Here is a 13,700-nt window from a genome sequence, read left to right on the forward strand (position 1 = left end):
ATCCCCTTTTGAGACCAGCCAGCAGTCCTGGTGACCGAGGTATGGGGCTGCTCTGGGTCTGTAAGAAACCGCCGGACAGTTCCTGGAACACGTATCTCAGCTCCTTCCCACTGCTGCCGGACAGTTCCTGGAGCATGTATCTCAGCTCCTCCCCTCTGGAGCTGCCCCTTCTCTCCCCGCTCACCCCCAAAAGCTTACCTTCCCAGGATACCGTGCCATCAGAACAGCCCAGGAGCAGCAGGTGTGTGTGTTTGAGGGGGCAGGGGAGTTAACAGAGACCCTTTGTATTAGCATCCCATTTGTCAGGGCAGGGACAGAGGCAGCCTGCCTCTCTCATGCATCTCCAAGTTTCCCTGGGAGAAGCTCATCAAGCTCATTATCATAACCAAGATCACAATGCTGGCTCCTTTCATCTCTGTGTATTGCTTGCTGTGACTCATTCACCAAGTGTCAGGGCTGATTAGGAGTCATTGGAGTTGTGTGGATCCAGATACGTCACTCCTTGGGAGTGGAAATCAGGTGACACAGGTGAGGCCAAGGTGACCCAGCAGCAATACTGCAGCCCCAGCCAACACCAGGCCTCCCAGGTGCCGAACACCTCCTAGGTCTATCATGTTCCCTGCCCCAACCATATGCTACAGCTAGGACACAACTTAGCCAGAAAGAGGAAAGGGAGAGAGGCAGTAGGGCCTATAGGACAGCCACTGTGTGCCAGACATGGGATTAAGCACTGTACACCCATGGTCTCATTTGATCCACACGTTCAATCAGATCCCATCTGCGTTTTACAGTTAAGAAAAATCTCTAAGGCTCAGGACGGTGGTATTCTTTGCCACATGACGCACAGAGCGTTCATTGGGGGGCTGCCAGCCCTACCTCCCCAAGGTGCTTTCTCCTGGAAAGGAATGCATCCTCACTGTGAGCAGGGTTGGGTGTCCACAACTGGGGGTGCAGCCATGGGAATGATGCCAGTCAGTAGACAAAGGATGAAATGGCTGAGCTGGTCAGGCCCGGGGTGGCTGGGAGCAACACACAGGGTGGGGAGTGGGGTCAGAAATGCCTGGGCTGAGGGCCATTCAACACCAGAGGCCCTTTGGGTGAGGAGCTGGGCCCAGGTGCATCTGCTGTCCTCTGAAAGATCCCAGAGGAGCTGGTGCATGGTGGGGAGGGGACAGAGGAAAAGGTACAAAACAGTTTTGCTTTGTTTTTTGAAGGGCTGGCTCTAATGCCAAAGAGACTCAGCCTTCGGGGTGGGACACTGCAGGGAAGACTGGACCAAGACTGTGGCTGGCCAGCCATGCCCCACAGGAGAGACAGGGGAAGTGGGCAATTCTATCAGAGGCCCAGGAGCCAGTCTGCCAAAGTGATCTCAGAGATGACATCATTGTCCACCATTGCGTTAGTCCCTAAGGCGACTCAGACAGAAACAAAGGGAAGGAGAGAAGCCAGGCAGACGGAGGAGAGCAGAGAAGTTCTTGGTGCACCCTGAGGAGGAAAGAAAGCCCTTTTCCTGGGGCGTTCTGGTGTGCAGGGTGCCTAGGAGGCACTCATGTCTGCCTCCTCCATCCTGTCTTCTCTTGGAAAGTAGAGGGGCCCAGATGTCAAAACAGCACCAGCTACAGGACTTCTAAGAGATGTTTCAGTACAGACATTCAGCAACAATGTGTCTGGGACATCGCCTGTCATGGACACTTTGGAGCAGACAGGTGGGCCCTCATCTAGACCCAGAACTCACCAGTGTCCACCACAAAGGCCTGTGATCATTTTTAACTGTTAACACCTAATCCACATCATATTTTCAGTAGAACTGAAAAATGCTCACATTACAAGACCATTTGTGGGTGTATGAAATAGTTAATATTTTTGATTTATTACATTTTCACTTGGCTTTTATTGGCCCTCCTCCCCTCTGCATTTGCTGTCAGGGCTTTATGTGCCATGAACTTGTATGAACTCAAGACATAATCACATCCTGGGCAGTGGGAGGGTGCCACGCCTCAGTCAGCCTCAGAAACCACCCCCCTAACCCGCCCCCAGTAACCCTGAGGCGGTAACAGACAAAGGCTTCCACCAGCCAGGGTGGTCTTACCCTCAGCACGCTAATGCAGGAGGGTGCCTAGTGGGCACACCGGGAGTCACAGCTTGGGCCACAGGATATCCCCCCAGTCCAGAGCCATCACTGACTCCAGAGCCCAGGCAGGTGGCTCTCACACAGGGCAGGCTTAGTTCTCTGGTGATTACATGTGGGATGACTCTACGCTTAATCAGGGTGGTTAGAGCCTACAGAGAACAGAGTTGGACCATGCAGGACTGATATCTGCATAGATCTGGAAGATTCTGCCACCAGTGATCTGCCATGGGGTTTTTCTCATCTATAAGAGTGTATGCCCTGGCTCCAATCCCAGCCCTGCCCCATCCTAGCTGAGTGACCTTGGGCACGCCACTCTGATTCTCTGAGTTTCTGTTTCCTCTGTCAAGTGTGCTGGAAAGTGCGGCATTGGAAAGGCTGATGTGATAAAGGAGATAACATGGGCGAAGCTCCTGACACATGCCTGAAACCTAGTGTGGGTTCAACAAGCATGAATTCTCTCTCACCCTCACCCCAGCCCCAGATAAATGACCAGCATGTTGTGGCCACAGCCCAGCTAGGCGCTTCCCACCCACCATCACCACTCCTTACCTGTTCCACAGACACCCAAACAGATTCAGTTCGCCCCTCAGCACCAGCAGGCACAGGGGAGTGGGGAGGACGCTGGGTGATGGTGGAGGGGGCAGAAAAGGGAATCCTCCCTGGTGTGAGGAGGAGAATTGGTGGTGTACCCAGCAGAGGCAGCCCCAGCTATGCCCCAGCTGGAAAAAACCGCCAGCTGGCCTCCGTGGAGGGAAGCCCAGGGTGGTGCCATTCCCCTCTCCATCCCCCCTTCCCTGCCACCAGACAGAGGCAGGGTGTTTGTGGGTTGAGTTCTCTCTATGACTCTGGAGCCCTGGGGACCTCACCTGCCTGGCTGAAAAGGTCCCGATGCCCCACTCTGCACCTGTCCTGGGGCCCTGGAGGCTGGTGTTTCCAACAATAGCTTCCAGCCCTGATTAAAATGCTGCAGCAGGGAGCATCAATAACCATTGGCAGCTGAGCCTCTAATAAGTATAATAATCACCATTAGGGAAAAGAGTAGGGGAGTGAGTGGGGCTGGTAATACAGTGATTATATTAATCTGCCTCCAGCCCAATCTGCATCCCTCTGCTCTTGGCATGCCCTCCTGGAGCCCGGCAGGAGGCACGGCGGCCAGCCAGAGCAGCCGGCCTGGCTTCACCCTGCCCCCAGCCTCTGGAGCTCCGCGGCCCCCACGCCCACTCCTTTCACCGACCTGAATAAAAGCTCCCTGCCTGGATGGGAGGAGACAAAGGGAATATTAGGAAGGTGGGTAGGGAAAGAGAGAGGCGTGAGGAACTCTGTGCATGGAGACGAGCGGACAACTGCTGAGCCTGAGTCTGGGGTTTGGAGTTCAGGTTTTGAGAGTGTCTCACTTCCTGAGCAGCATGGGGCTGGTAATTTATTGAATCTCATTTAATAGAAATGTACATCATGCTTACCATGTGCCAGGCATTGCTTAAAGCATTTTGCTGCTATCAACTCACTGAATCCTCATAATAGCCAACAAGGTAGATGTTATCCTCACTTTGCAGATGAGGAAACTGAGTCGCAGAGTTGGTTAAGTAACGTACCCAATGTGATGAAACCTTAAGTGGTAGATCCAGGACTTGAACCAGGTGGCCCAACTTTACTGTCTGTGCACTTCATCCCTTTCTATGCGGCTTCTATACCTCCACGGCTGGCACGTAGTAGACACTCAATAAACAATATTGACTGCTGGTGCACTAGGTGCCCCAAGGTCCTCCTCATGCCCTCACTCCCAGACCCTGCCAATTATGATATTTAGCACTATCCTGTTCCCCTTCGTATGTAAACCCCCATCCCAGAGTCTGAGAATGTTTCAAAATGCGTTTCTAACAAGCACTGGCAAGCGTGGAAGCGTCCTGGGTCTGTGGCAGAGCACCTCTTGTTCCTTCTTCTCCACTTTGTCTAGGTCTTGAATACGGACCAGGCCGTCCTCATGGCTGTGGGAACATGACACCAACCCAGAGGCCCTCTAGAGTGCTTTTTCTGGTGACATCCTTGCCTAGCCCTTCCATGTGTCTGATCTACTCTAAAAAGCCTAAAACTAAGTGAGCTGGTCTACTCAGCCACCGCCTTTCAGAGGAGGAGTTCGTTTGTCTCCAGAGGAGGAGTTTTATGAGGACGATATTAAGGTATTCATTAGAAATGGCCATGCAAGGCCGGGCGCGGTGGCTCACGCCTGTAATCCCAGCACTTTGGGAGGCCGAAGTAGGCAGATCACGAGGTCAGGAGATCGAGACCATCCTGGCTAACACAGTGAAACCCCGTCTCTACTAAAAATACAAACAAATTAGCCGAATGTGATGGCGGGCGCCTGTAGTCCCAGCTACTCAAGAGGCTGAGGCAGGAGAATCGCTTGAACCTGGGAGGCGGGGGTTGCAGTGAGTTGAGATCACGCCACTGCACTCCAGCCTGGGCAACAGAGACAGACTCCGTCTCAAAAAACAAACAAACAAACAAAAACAACTTCCTGCGCTCTTCTCCCCTAGGCCCAAGCAACCGCCATTCTACCTCCTGCCTCTGTGAATTTGACTACTCTGGGTACCTCATAAATTTGAGGAAGTGGCTCTATCATGATTTAGTTAACTGTTCTCTTAGGATTGATTACACAGATTGTTTCTGATTTTTCCTTATTATCAGTAATGTGGCAACAAATATATTTGTGCAACCAGTTTCTTTGTGTGGTTAGGATTATTCCCTTGGGATTGTCAGAATCAAGAATTACTGAGAAAAAAATAACCTGAACATGTTTAGGTTTTTGATGCATATTATCAGTTAGCTATCCTAAAGGATTTTAGTGGTTTATGTATTGCACCTGAAGCATTATATTAGCAATGTATAAACTTGCCTGTTTCTCTGTAAACTTACCACCACTGGCTTGTAAAAAAATGCATTGCTAATTTTTTAGGCAAAAATCGATACATCATTGTTAGACTAAAAATTTGTTGTGGCAACTGGAGTTTAGTGGAAAGAGTGCGGAACTTGGAGTCAGATCTATTTTTGGAAGTTGAGTATAGAGCAAAATGTCCCCGGAACTGAAAGGAGAACAAATAGCCACTCTTTTGAGCAGTTAGGCCCTAAGTGGGCTGGAAGAATGAAAGGAAAGGGAAGGAAAAGAGACTGATCTTTGTATACTGGGCACTGCCTTAGGAGATGGGAAGTTAAAGTCAGTAAGGCAGTCCCTTGATCTGTTCACAACTGAATAGATTGTGAAAAACAAACAAACAAATACGCCATTTTACAGATGAGAAAACTGAGGATGGGAGCTATAAAATAACTTTTGCAAGATCATACAATTCATCAGTAATGATATGAACTGCTAACAGCAATATATAGACTGCTAACCCCTAGCTAGACACTGTGCTAAGTACTTCATAAAGATCATCTCATTTGCTCATTACCTCCCCAAATCCCCATGAAGCTGGTCCTATTTGTTCCCATTGTATAGACTTCCCAGCATCACAGAACCCAAAGCACACTTGGGCAGCCTGCCTCTGCAATTTGATGCCAAGGCCTGTATGCACACCCTATCGTCTCTCACAGCACTGGACACCCCATTGCAGACAACACGGGGGCTCCTAAATGCCTCCCTCTGTTTGCTCCAGGCTGTTTCCTCTTCTGGAGACACCCTTCCCTATCCCCCACCCTTTTTTGGACTTGGCTAACCCATTCATAAGGATCAGCTCAGAATCAGCCCTGCCCCCTGCACCCCTGCCTCACCACATGCATGCCGTAGGTGTCCCTCTTACATGCTTTAGTGGGTAGACCTATTGCAGCACTTGTCCCACTATAGTGTCATTGCGTATGTGCCTGTCTCCCCAGGGAGATGCCTTTCAGATTATAGGCTGTGTTTTTATCCCAGTATTCCTTTACCTTAGCACTCCTGGCACACAATAGGCCTCAACAGGTGTTTGTGAATGAATGCTGTCTGTCATTCAAGCCCAGATTTGACCCATTCCAGAGACCGAGACTGAGGAATTTCCAGCAAAGCCGAATAAGGCAGAGTGGGAGGATGCACCGAAGCTGGAGCCCTGGGATCTTCTCCTGGGGATAACTCTGCAATCTCTTGAGCCAGCCTGAGATTTTCCATTCTCCACACCTTCACCTTGAGACCAATAGGACTTCTCATAAAGAACCTGGGGTGCTCAGGAGGGAGACTCTATGGAGGCACAGAACCTTCAGCCTGGTGGGAGGGCAGTAAATTAAATTTCTCTGCTAACAAGCTCATCCCGGAACAGCCTCCCCTACAGACTGGTCCTCTGGGAATAGAGACCTGGCTGTTTTCTTTTTCTGCTGTCATAGCCAGTTGCTGGCTGAAAGTGCAGGAGGCCCAGGAAGCTGCTGGCACACAAGAGGAAAGAGAATGGGGCTTGGGGATGGGGGTGAGGGGTTCAAATGCTGCCTAGAACCTGCCACTGGCAGGTTCTCCAGGGAGGCTGGGGAAGCCTTCTAGACCACAGACCACCAGGCCCAGGGCGTGAGATTCTAACTTCCCTCAGAAATGGGCCCACACAGGCCAGGTACACTGGCCCACACTTGTAATTCCAGCACTCTGGGAGGCTGAGGTGGGAGGATCACTTGAACCGAGGAGGTGGAGGCTGCAGTGAGCCAAGGTCATATCACTTGTACTCCAGCCTGGGCGACAAAGTGAGACCCTGTCCCTAAAGCAAACAAACAAACCAAAACCTGTCAGTGACTTACTGTTTGATATCCTGGTCATCATTATGGGAAGAAACAGAATTCTTGGTGTTCCTTACTCTAATTTATCTCTGGTTTAACTTTATGTTATGGGGATGTGGGGGCAGTGAGGAAAGCACCAGTGTCTTTTTACGGCCCAGGACATCCTAAGTACCTTACCCCAGTCCTGGCAAGCTTGCAGGACATGCTAAAGATGGGAGCCTTTAGTTGGCATCGCTTACTTGGCCTGGGATGAAGTCTTGACCTCCCATCTGGAGCTAAATGTCCAAGCCAAGGGGCATCTGGGGGTGGGACTGCCCTTTGCCCAGCCACGGCCTTGTGGGCTGATGGCAGACAGTCATGTTCTTATGAGCCACTTCCCCCAATGGCTGACATTTCATCTTTGGAGAGGAAAGCTACCAGAGTCAAAGAGGGAGGCGGGTAAGAGAGGACTAGGCTATACCTTGCACGATTAGTCTTTCATAAGTAGTGTTTAAGGATCAGGATGAAAAATTAAAAAAGCAAAAAACAAAACCAGCAAGCCAATTCCTCTCAAGAAACTTCCCTGAAAGAAAAGGGAGGAAATCAATATTTAATTCAGACTTCATTGATTTGCAGTTTGGGTACCACACTCAGCACTCGATTCTGTCCCGGTTTCCCAGTAAGAGATTATGGAGTCCCTGGCAAAGGATACTAAAGGGCCTGAGGGAAAGGCAGCGCCAGGGAAGAGAAGCCGGGAACTTTGTCTTGAGTCAACTTTCCCCAGCTGCTCCCTGCCCCAGTGTGGGGCACCTCCCCTCCCTGAGGGCTTCGCTGAGCTGGGAGGGATGAACCAGGCCTTCCTTGGCCCACTCCCCTGCCTCTGAGAAGAGCAGCAGCCAAACCCCCCCTCAAAGAGCTGTGTGCACTTGACACAAACGTGCACTCTCTCTCTCTCACACACACACACACACACACACACTCACACACCACTCCTCCACTCACATACCACACCTACAGACACTCACATAAGCTCACACAACACACACACTCTCACACACACTTGCACACCACTCCTACACTCACATACCCACCTAGACACACTCACATAAACTCACACACCAAACTCCCCCCCCACACACTCTCACACACCACTCCTACACTCACATACCACACCTACACACACTCACATAAGCTCACACACCACACACTCACACACTCACACACCACTCCTACACTCACATACCCACCTAGACACACTCACATTAGCTCACACACCACACACACTCACATTAGCTCACACACCACATACACTCACATTAGCTTACACAGCACACACACTCACATAAGCTCACACACCACACACTACATTAGCTCACACACCACACACACTCACATTAGCTCACACACCACACACACTCACATAAGCTCACACACCACACACTACATTAGCTCACACACCACACACTCACATTAGCTTATACAGCACACGCACGGCACACACACTCCCACACACACACCCTCTTACGTACATTCACATACACTCCATACCACATACACTACACACACATACACCACACACACACACACACAAAATGCCCTAACTTTACTTAACTAGCCTAAAAAAAAACCCCTAATTTTTCAAAGATACAAACTGAAGTATCTAGGAATGAAAAATCATACCTGTAACTTACTCTAAAATACTTTGGAAAATAAAAGACCAAAAAAACTTAGCCAGGAAACTTCAAAAGTTCACAGTTCTTTTCTTTTTCATTCCTCAGGCCTTCTAGCTAATCTAAGCTATCTAAAGTCTAGTCTAGGCTGCGCGCAGTGGCCAGACCTGTAACCCCAGCACTTTGGGAGGCCGAGGCGGGCGGATCACTTGAGCCCAGGAACTGGAGACCAGCCTGGATAATGTGGCGAAAGCCCTACAAAAAATACAAAAATTAGCCAGGCATGGTGGTGCATGCCTGTAATCCCAGCTACTTGTGGGGGCTGAGGCAGGAGGATTTCTTGAACCCGGGAGGTCGTGGCTGCCGTGAGCTGAGATCATGCCATGGCACTCCAGCCTGGGTGACAAGGGAGACCCTATTAAAAAAAAAAAAAAAAAAAAGTCTAGCCTAAATCCATGTTGTTGCAAATGAAGCATGTGCCATTCTGTTCCAACACTGGATGGCAGAGAAACTGGCTGCTCACCCCCCCACCCCACCCCCACCCCAATACCCAAACAGATGGGAAGGCAGTGACTAAATGCTGGAAGAAAAATTGAATATCCCCACGAACACATGGCCAAGCTATCAATCAGCCACTCATCAAATTCTGTGGCAGAGCCGCCCTGCTGGTGAGAGGGGCATGTAGGGTGGGACAGTAATGACAGAAATATGGAGAAGTATGATTTGAGCACCTCAGCCTTCTCTGTCAGCATGCAGTCTACGTGGGGAAATAAGCTCAGAGCACCCAGGATCAGAGAGCTCCAAGTCAGCAATAAATGGCCTAGTGGGTCAGACCATGATTTTTTAAAAAATTAATTAAAATAAACAACACACAAAATTCTCTCCTAGCACTTCAGAGCTTATACAATTTCCAATGCTCTTCTCCATCTGTTGCCTTAGTTGGTTCTTGTTGAGAATACTATAAAATGGTTATGGTTGGAATTTTGTGTCTCCATTTTACAGATGAAGACACTGAGGCCCGGGAAGTTGTGTAAATGAGCAGCATAGAGTGGTCAATGGCAGGGCTGGGACCAACACCCATACCACTCCCACATGGCTATTCTTTCTTGCAACTTGAGAGGGCTTCTGGATACGCCACCCCACCGCCACCACCGTGAGCCCAGGGCTCAGAGCTGGGCAAGCTCTAGGCAATCTTCCTGAGCTTTCTTCCTCTCTCAGCCCAGCAGCAGATGCAGCCAATATCCAACTACCCAATCCTTCTCAATATCTATGAACCCTCTCAGTGATCTGCCTCTGATCCCCTCCAGCACACAGAGTTTGTGTAGGTGAATTTGTATGGGAATGTATGCAGTGGAGACAAGAGTCTGGAATCCGAAGGCCTGGGTTTTCAGTCTGTCTCTATGTTCAGTTGGCTGTTCTACCGTGGAACCCCAAGTCCTCTTTTTGGCCCCACTGGTTCCTCTGTTCTTCTCAGGTCTCCTTTCTAGCCTCAGGAATGTGCCGAAACTCAGAGAACTGCTTGTTCTCTGAAAAGCTGCCACCACCCACACATCCCCTGGGGTTCTCCTCTTTCTGTGCAGTAGGATGCTGTCCCCCCAGTTCTCGTTTCCCTGCTGCCCCCATGCAGTAGGATGCTGTCCCCCCCAGTTCCTGTTTCCCTGCTGCCCCCATGCAGTAGGATGCTGTCTGCCCAGTTCCCATTTCCCTGCTGCCCCCATGCAGTAGGATGCTGTACCCATTTCCTGTTTCCTTGCTGCCCCCATGCAGTAGGATGCTGTCCCCCAGTTCATGTTTCCCTGCTGCCCCCATGCAGTAGGATGCTGTGCCCCCAGTTCCTGTTTCCTTGCTGCCCCCATGCAGTAGGATGCTGTGCCCCCAGTTCCTGTTTCCTTGCTGCCCCCATGCAGTAGGATGCTGTGCCCCCAGTTCCTGTTTCCCTGCGCCCCCATGCAGTAGGATGCTGTCCCCATTTCCTGTTTCCTTGCTGCTCCCATGCAGTAGGGTGCTGTCCCCCCAGTTCCTGTTTCCCTGCTGCCCCCACGCAGTAGGATGCTCTTTTACCATTTCCTACTTTCTTACTGCCCCCAAAAACATGTAGATAGGTGGTTCCCCTCATCAGGAGTTCACTGCTCATTACTCAGGGGAATGGATGGGAGATTAAATTATCAAGCAAGGGGAAATGACAAAGGTTCCAAAATTTGTGACATGTACCTAGTCTTGGCCCCTCTTGTGTAAAGTTCTTTTGTTATTTTTATTTATTTTTTAAGAAAAGACAGGGGTCCCCATTTGTTTTCATCATCTGATTTTGTTCACCCAAGTGGGCTCTGTGACTTCCACCATCTTTTGGCCATCCCTGTGTTAGCAAAGGCCGCACTGATTCCTTTCCTCCTGCTCGTCCTGCTTCTCAGCACTTGGGCCTAAAAATGCAGGTAAGGCAGAACAGTTCCTGTCCTTCTAGCTGATATGGGTTCACTAGCTCTCTGTCTCACCCAAAAATGATACTTTCTCAGCATTTCTGCATTAGCTTGTGGCCTTGGCCAGGGCTCCTGACCACTCTAAGCCCAGGATTCCTGATCTGTGAAAAGAGGCCAAAAATACCTCCTTCCCAGTGTTGAGATAATGGACTGAAAGTGCCTTGGACATTGCAAAGGGCAATTCTATCGTGAACTTTTTATTGTACCTAAATAAAAAAGAAATGATCAATGCCTCTCATTAATAGCTATAATTTATTGAGTGCCAACTAGGTGCTGGTTACTATATTTAGTGCTCTACGTACATTATTGCAAATACTCTCAAGAACAGTAAGGAAGGAATGACCCCATTTTATAAATAAGTGATCTAAAGTATTCAACTAAGTGGTAGAGTTGAAATTTGACCCTAGGTGTGTCTGCTTGCAGTTTGTATTTTTCCCTACCCCAATCTGTGTTTTAAACAAACCCTATACCACACACAGGCTTCCGTTGCTATATTTATCACATTATATTTGTGATATCACATTGTGTGTGATACATCATTGTATCATGTACACATGTACACCTTGTATTATTACACGTGTGTGATACACATGTGTATCACTTTGTAATTTGCTTGTTTATAGGTTTCTCATCTAGGAGACCATGCCCTGGTGGTGGCCCAAGACTATACATCTTGGTCATTTTTGTAGCATCGGCTCCTCTATGGCTGTCACATAATAGGCATTCAGTAGGTGTTAGTGACTGATTTTATAAGTATAGCTATTCATCCAATCTGATTTCCTCCTCACCCTCTTCAGAAGCCCAGTTTAGAGGTGAGGAGTGGGGGGCTGAGAAATAGAGCATGCAAGCCCTTTGCCATTCTCCACCTAGGGGGCTCTAAATCCAGAAGCTGTCCCCAGAAATCTGCCTCCTCCCAAAGTTCTAAGAGCTCATACATATTCATAATAGGCAAATACACTGAGAAGATATATTTATTTTGTTTACTAAACTGGCATCTCTGCAAATTTATAGCAGAAAATGACTAAGTCTGTTTCCTTGTGTGCTTTCATAGCCTGAAAGTTGAATTGATGTTGCCTCCAAGACTGGCAGAGTGAGGAGGCAAGAAAATCTGGGCCACCACCCGCCCAGAGCTAGCCCAGGGAGACAGGGACACATGACTGTTCACAGGCAGCCCTGCCAGGGAAGATGATGCCCACTGCGGTTTGGGAGGCTCAACAGATAACACTCCTCTATTCTCTACCCAAGGGGGGAGAAGAAACAAAAGGAGAGTTAGACCAAAGAATTACAAAGACGGAGATAGAAAAATTAAAAACCCCAAACTATTGTACTTATTTATTTTTATTGTTTTTTGTTTGTTTGTTTTTGTTTTGTTTTGTTTTGAGACAGAGTCTCGCTCTGTCACCCAGGCTGGAGTGCAGTGGTGTGATCTCAGCTCGCTGCAACCTCCGCCTCCCAGGTTCAAGCGATTCTTCTGCCTTAGCCTCCTGAGTAGCTGGGACTACAGGCGCGCGCCACCACGCATGGCTAATTTTTGTATTTTTAGTAGAGACGGGGTTTCACCATATTGACCTCGGTCTCAAACTCCTGACCTCATGATCCACCGCCTCGGCCTCCCAAAGTGCTGGGATTACAGGCATGAGCCACCATGCCTGGCCTATTTTTATTGTTTTTAAACACAAGGTCTCACTCTGTCACCCAGCCTAGAGTGCAGTGGCACAATCATAGTTCACTGCAGCCTTGAACTCCTGGCCACAGGCAATCCATCCATCTCAGCCTCCCAAGTAGCTAGGACTTACAGGCGTGCACCACAACTCTCAGTTAATTTTTTTATTTTTGCAGCGACGGGGTCTATGTTGCCAGGCCGGTCTCCAACTCTTGGGCTCAAGCTCTCCTTCTGTCTTGGACTCCCAAAGTGCTGAGATTACAGGCGTGAGCTACCATCCCTGCCCTGCTTGCTCCCCCAAAAAAACTACTTCAACAAAATGTTTACGTGTGCTTACTGATGTTTCCTCCCCAACTACTGAATTTATCCTTTGCTGAGCATTACTTGAAATTGTCAAAAGCTGGAAGTAATGCAAAAAGATGACTGCTTGTCCTCTTGATGTTCTACTGTGATGTGTCTAACAGGCCCACCAAAATTTATTTCATTCACTATAAGAAACGAGTCTTTGCTTGCCTTCATATTGACTATATATTAGAGCCTGGATTCATTAACACTTATTAACATTACATGTTAATTTGTATATTTTTGTCTAGTAAAGATGAAAATTTTTGCTCTTTGGTAGAAGAATAATTGCGAAGGCTACAGTTTTGTTGCACTGTAGGATATTAACTGATTTTGCATCTAATTTAATAAACTTATTTATGCATTCTTTTCCCAACTAACTATATAAATCTCTGTCCATCAAATGCTCTTAAGAACCGTCTTTAACATACTGCTGGTTCCCTTGTTAACGAGTTAAATGGATCTTTGACACATGTCCATTCTATATTTGTATGGAAGCCACGTTTTAAAATTCTTTGAAAATTATACTTTGACCCACTTCCCCCTTAAACAGAAGCCTGTTCCAAAGAACCAGAACACGCTCTGCTCAGCTCACCTCATGGTAGAGGGAGCAGTTCAGGGTATATTAGGTTGATGCAAAAATAATTGCGGTTTTTGCCATTTTTTTTTTTTTTTTGAGACAGAGTCTCATTCTGTCACCCAGGCTGGAGTGCAGT

At 48.5% G+C, this 13,700-nt stretch overlaps 2 long non-coding RNA genes across 5 annotated transcripts in view, besides 3 other annotated features; one reads left to right on the forward strand and one right to left on the reverse strand.

Annotated features, from left to right (window-relative positions):
• LOC105371688 (uncharacterized) overlaps positions 1-256 on the reverse strand; it is a 15,727-nt gene extending 15,471 nt beyond the window's left edge. For all 4 annotated transcript variants that reach the window (XR_007066807.1, XR_922442.3, XR_007066808.1 and 1 more), the window contains exon 1: positions 199-256. This is a non-coding gene — a long non-coding RNA (uncharacterized LOC105371688). The remainder of the gene's footprint in view (positions 1-198) is intronic.
• Positions 1-504: part of an enhancer, noted in NCBI's record as "OCT4-NANOG-H3K27ac-H3K4me1 hESC enhancer chr1:203487943-203488774 (GRCh37/hg19 assembly coordinates)", that runs on past the window's edge. NCBI's record gives its function as "activates a minimal SCP1, AML or CMV promoter by ChIP-STARR-seq in naive and primed H9 embryonic stem cells {active_cell/tissue: H9 hESC(naive and primed)}" and the evidence as "EXISTENCE:reporter gene assay evidence [ECO:0000049][PMID:30033119]".
• LOC124904488 (uncharacterized) overlaps positions 1-13,184 on the forward strand; it is a 19,430-nt gene extending 6,246 nt beyond the window's left edge. Inside the window, exon 3 of the long non-coding RNA XR_007066809.1 lies at positions 12,819-13,184. This is a non-coding gene — a long non-coding RNA (uncharacterized LOC124904488). The remainder of the gene's footprint in view (positions 1-12,818) is intronic.
• Positions 505-1,337: an enhancer, noted in NCBI's record as "OCT4-NANOG-H3K27ac-H3K4me1 hESC enhancer chr1:203488775-203489607 (GRCh37/hg19 assembly coordinates)". NCBI's record gives its function as "activates a minimal SCP1, AML or CMV promoter by ChIP-STARR-seq in naive and primed H9 embryonic stem cells {active_cell/tissue: H9 hESC(naive and primed)}" and the evidence as "EXISTENCE:reporter gene assay evidence [ECO:0000049][PMID:30033119]".
• Positions 3,003-3,833: an enhancer, noted in NCBI's record as "H3K27ac-H3K4me1 hESC enhancer chr1:203491273-203492103 (GRCh37/hg19 assembly coordinates)". NCBI's record gives its function as "activates a minimal SCP1, AML or CMV promoter by ChIP-STARR-seq in primed H9 embryonic stem cells {active_cell/tissue: H9 hESC(primed)}" and the evidence as "EXISTENCE:reporter gene assay evidence [ECO:0000049][PMID:30033119]".
• Positions 13,185-13,700: the final 516 nt, after the last annotated feature.

The sequence above is a fragment of the Homo sapiens genome, chromosome 1 (genome assembly GCF_000001405.40).
Source record: "Homo sapiens chromosome 1, GRCh38.p14 Primary Assembly".
Classification (NCBI taxonomy): Eukaryota; Metazoa; Chordata; class Mammalia; order Primates; family Hominidae; genus Homo; species Homo sapiens.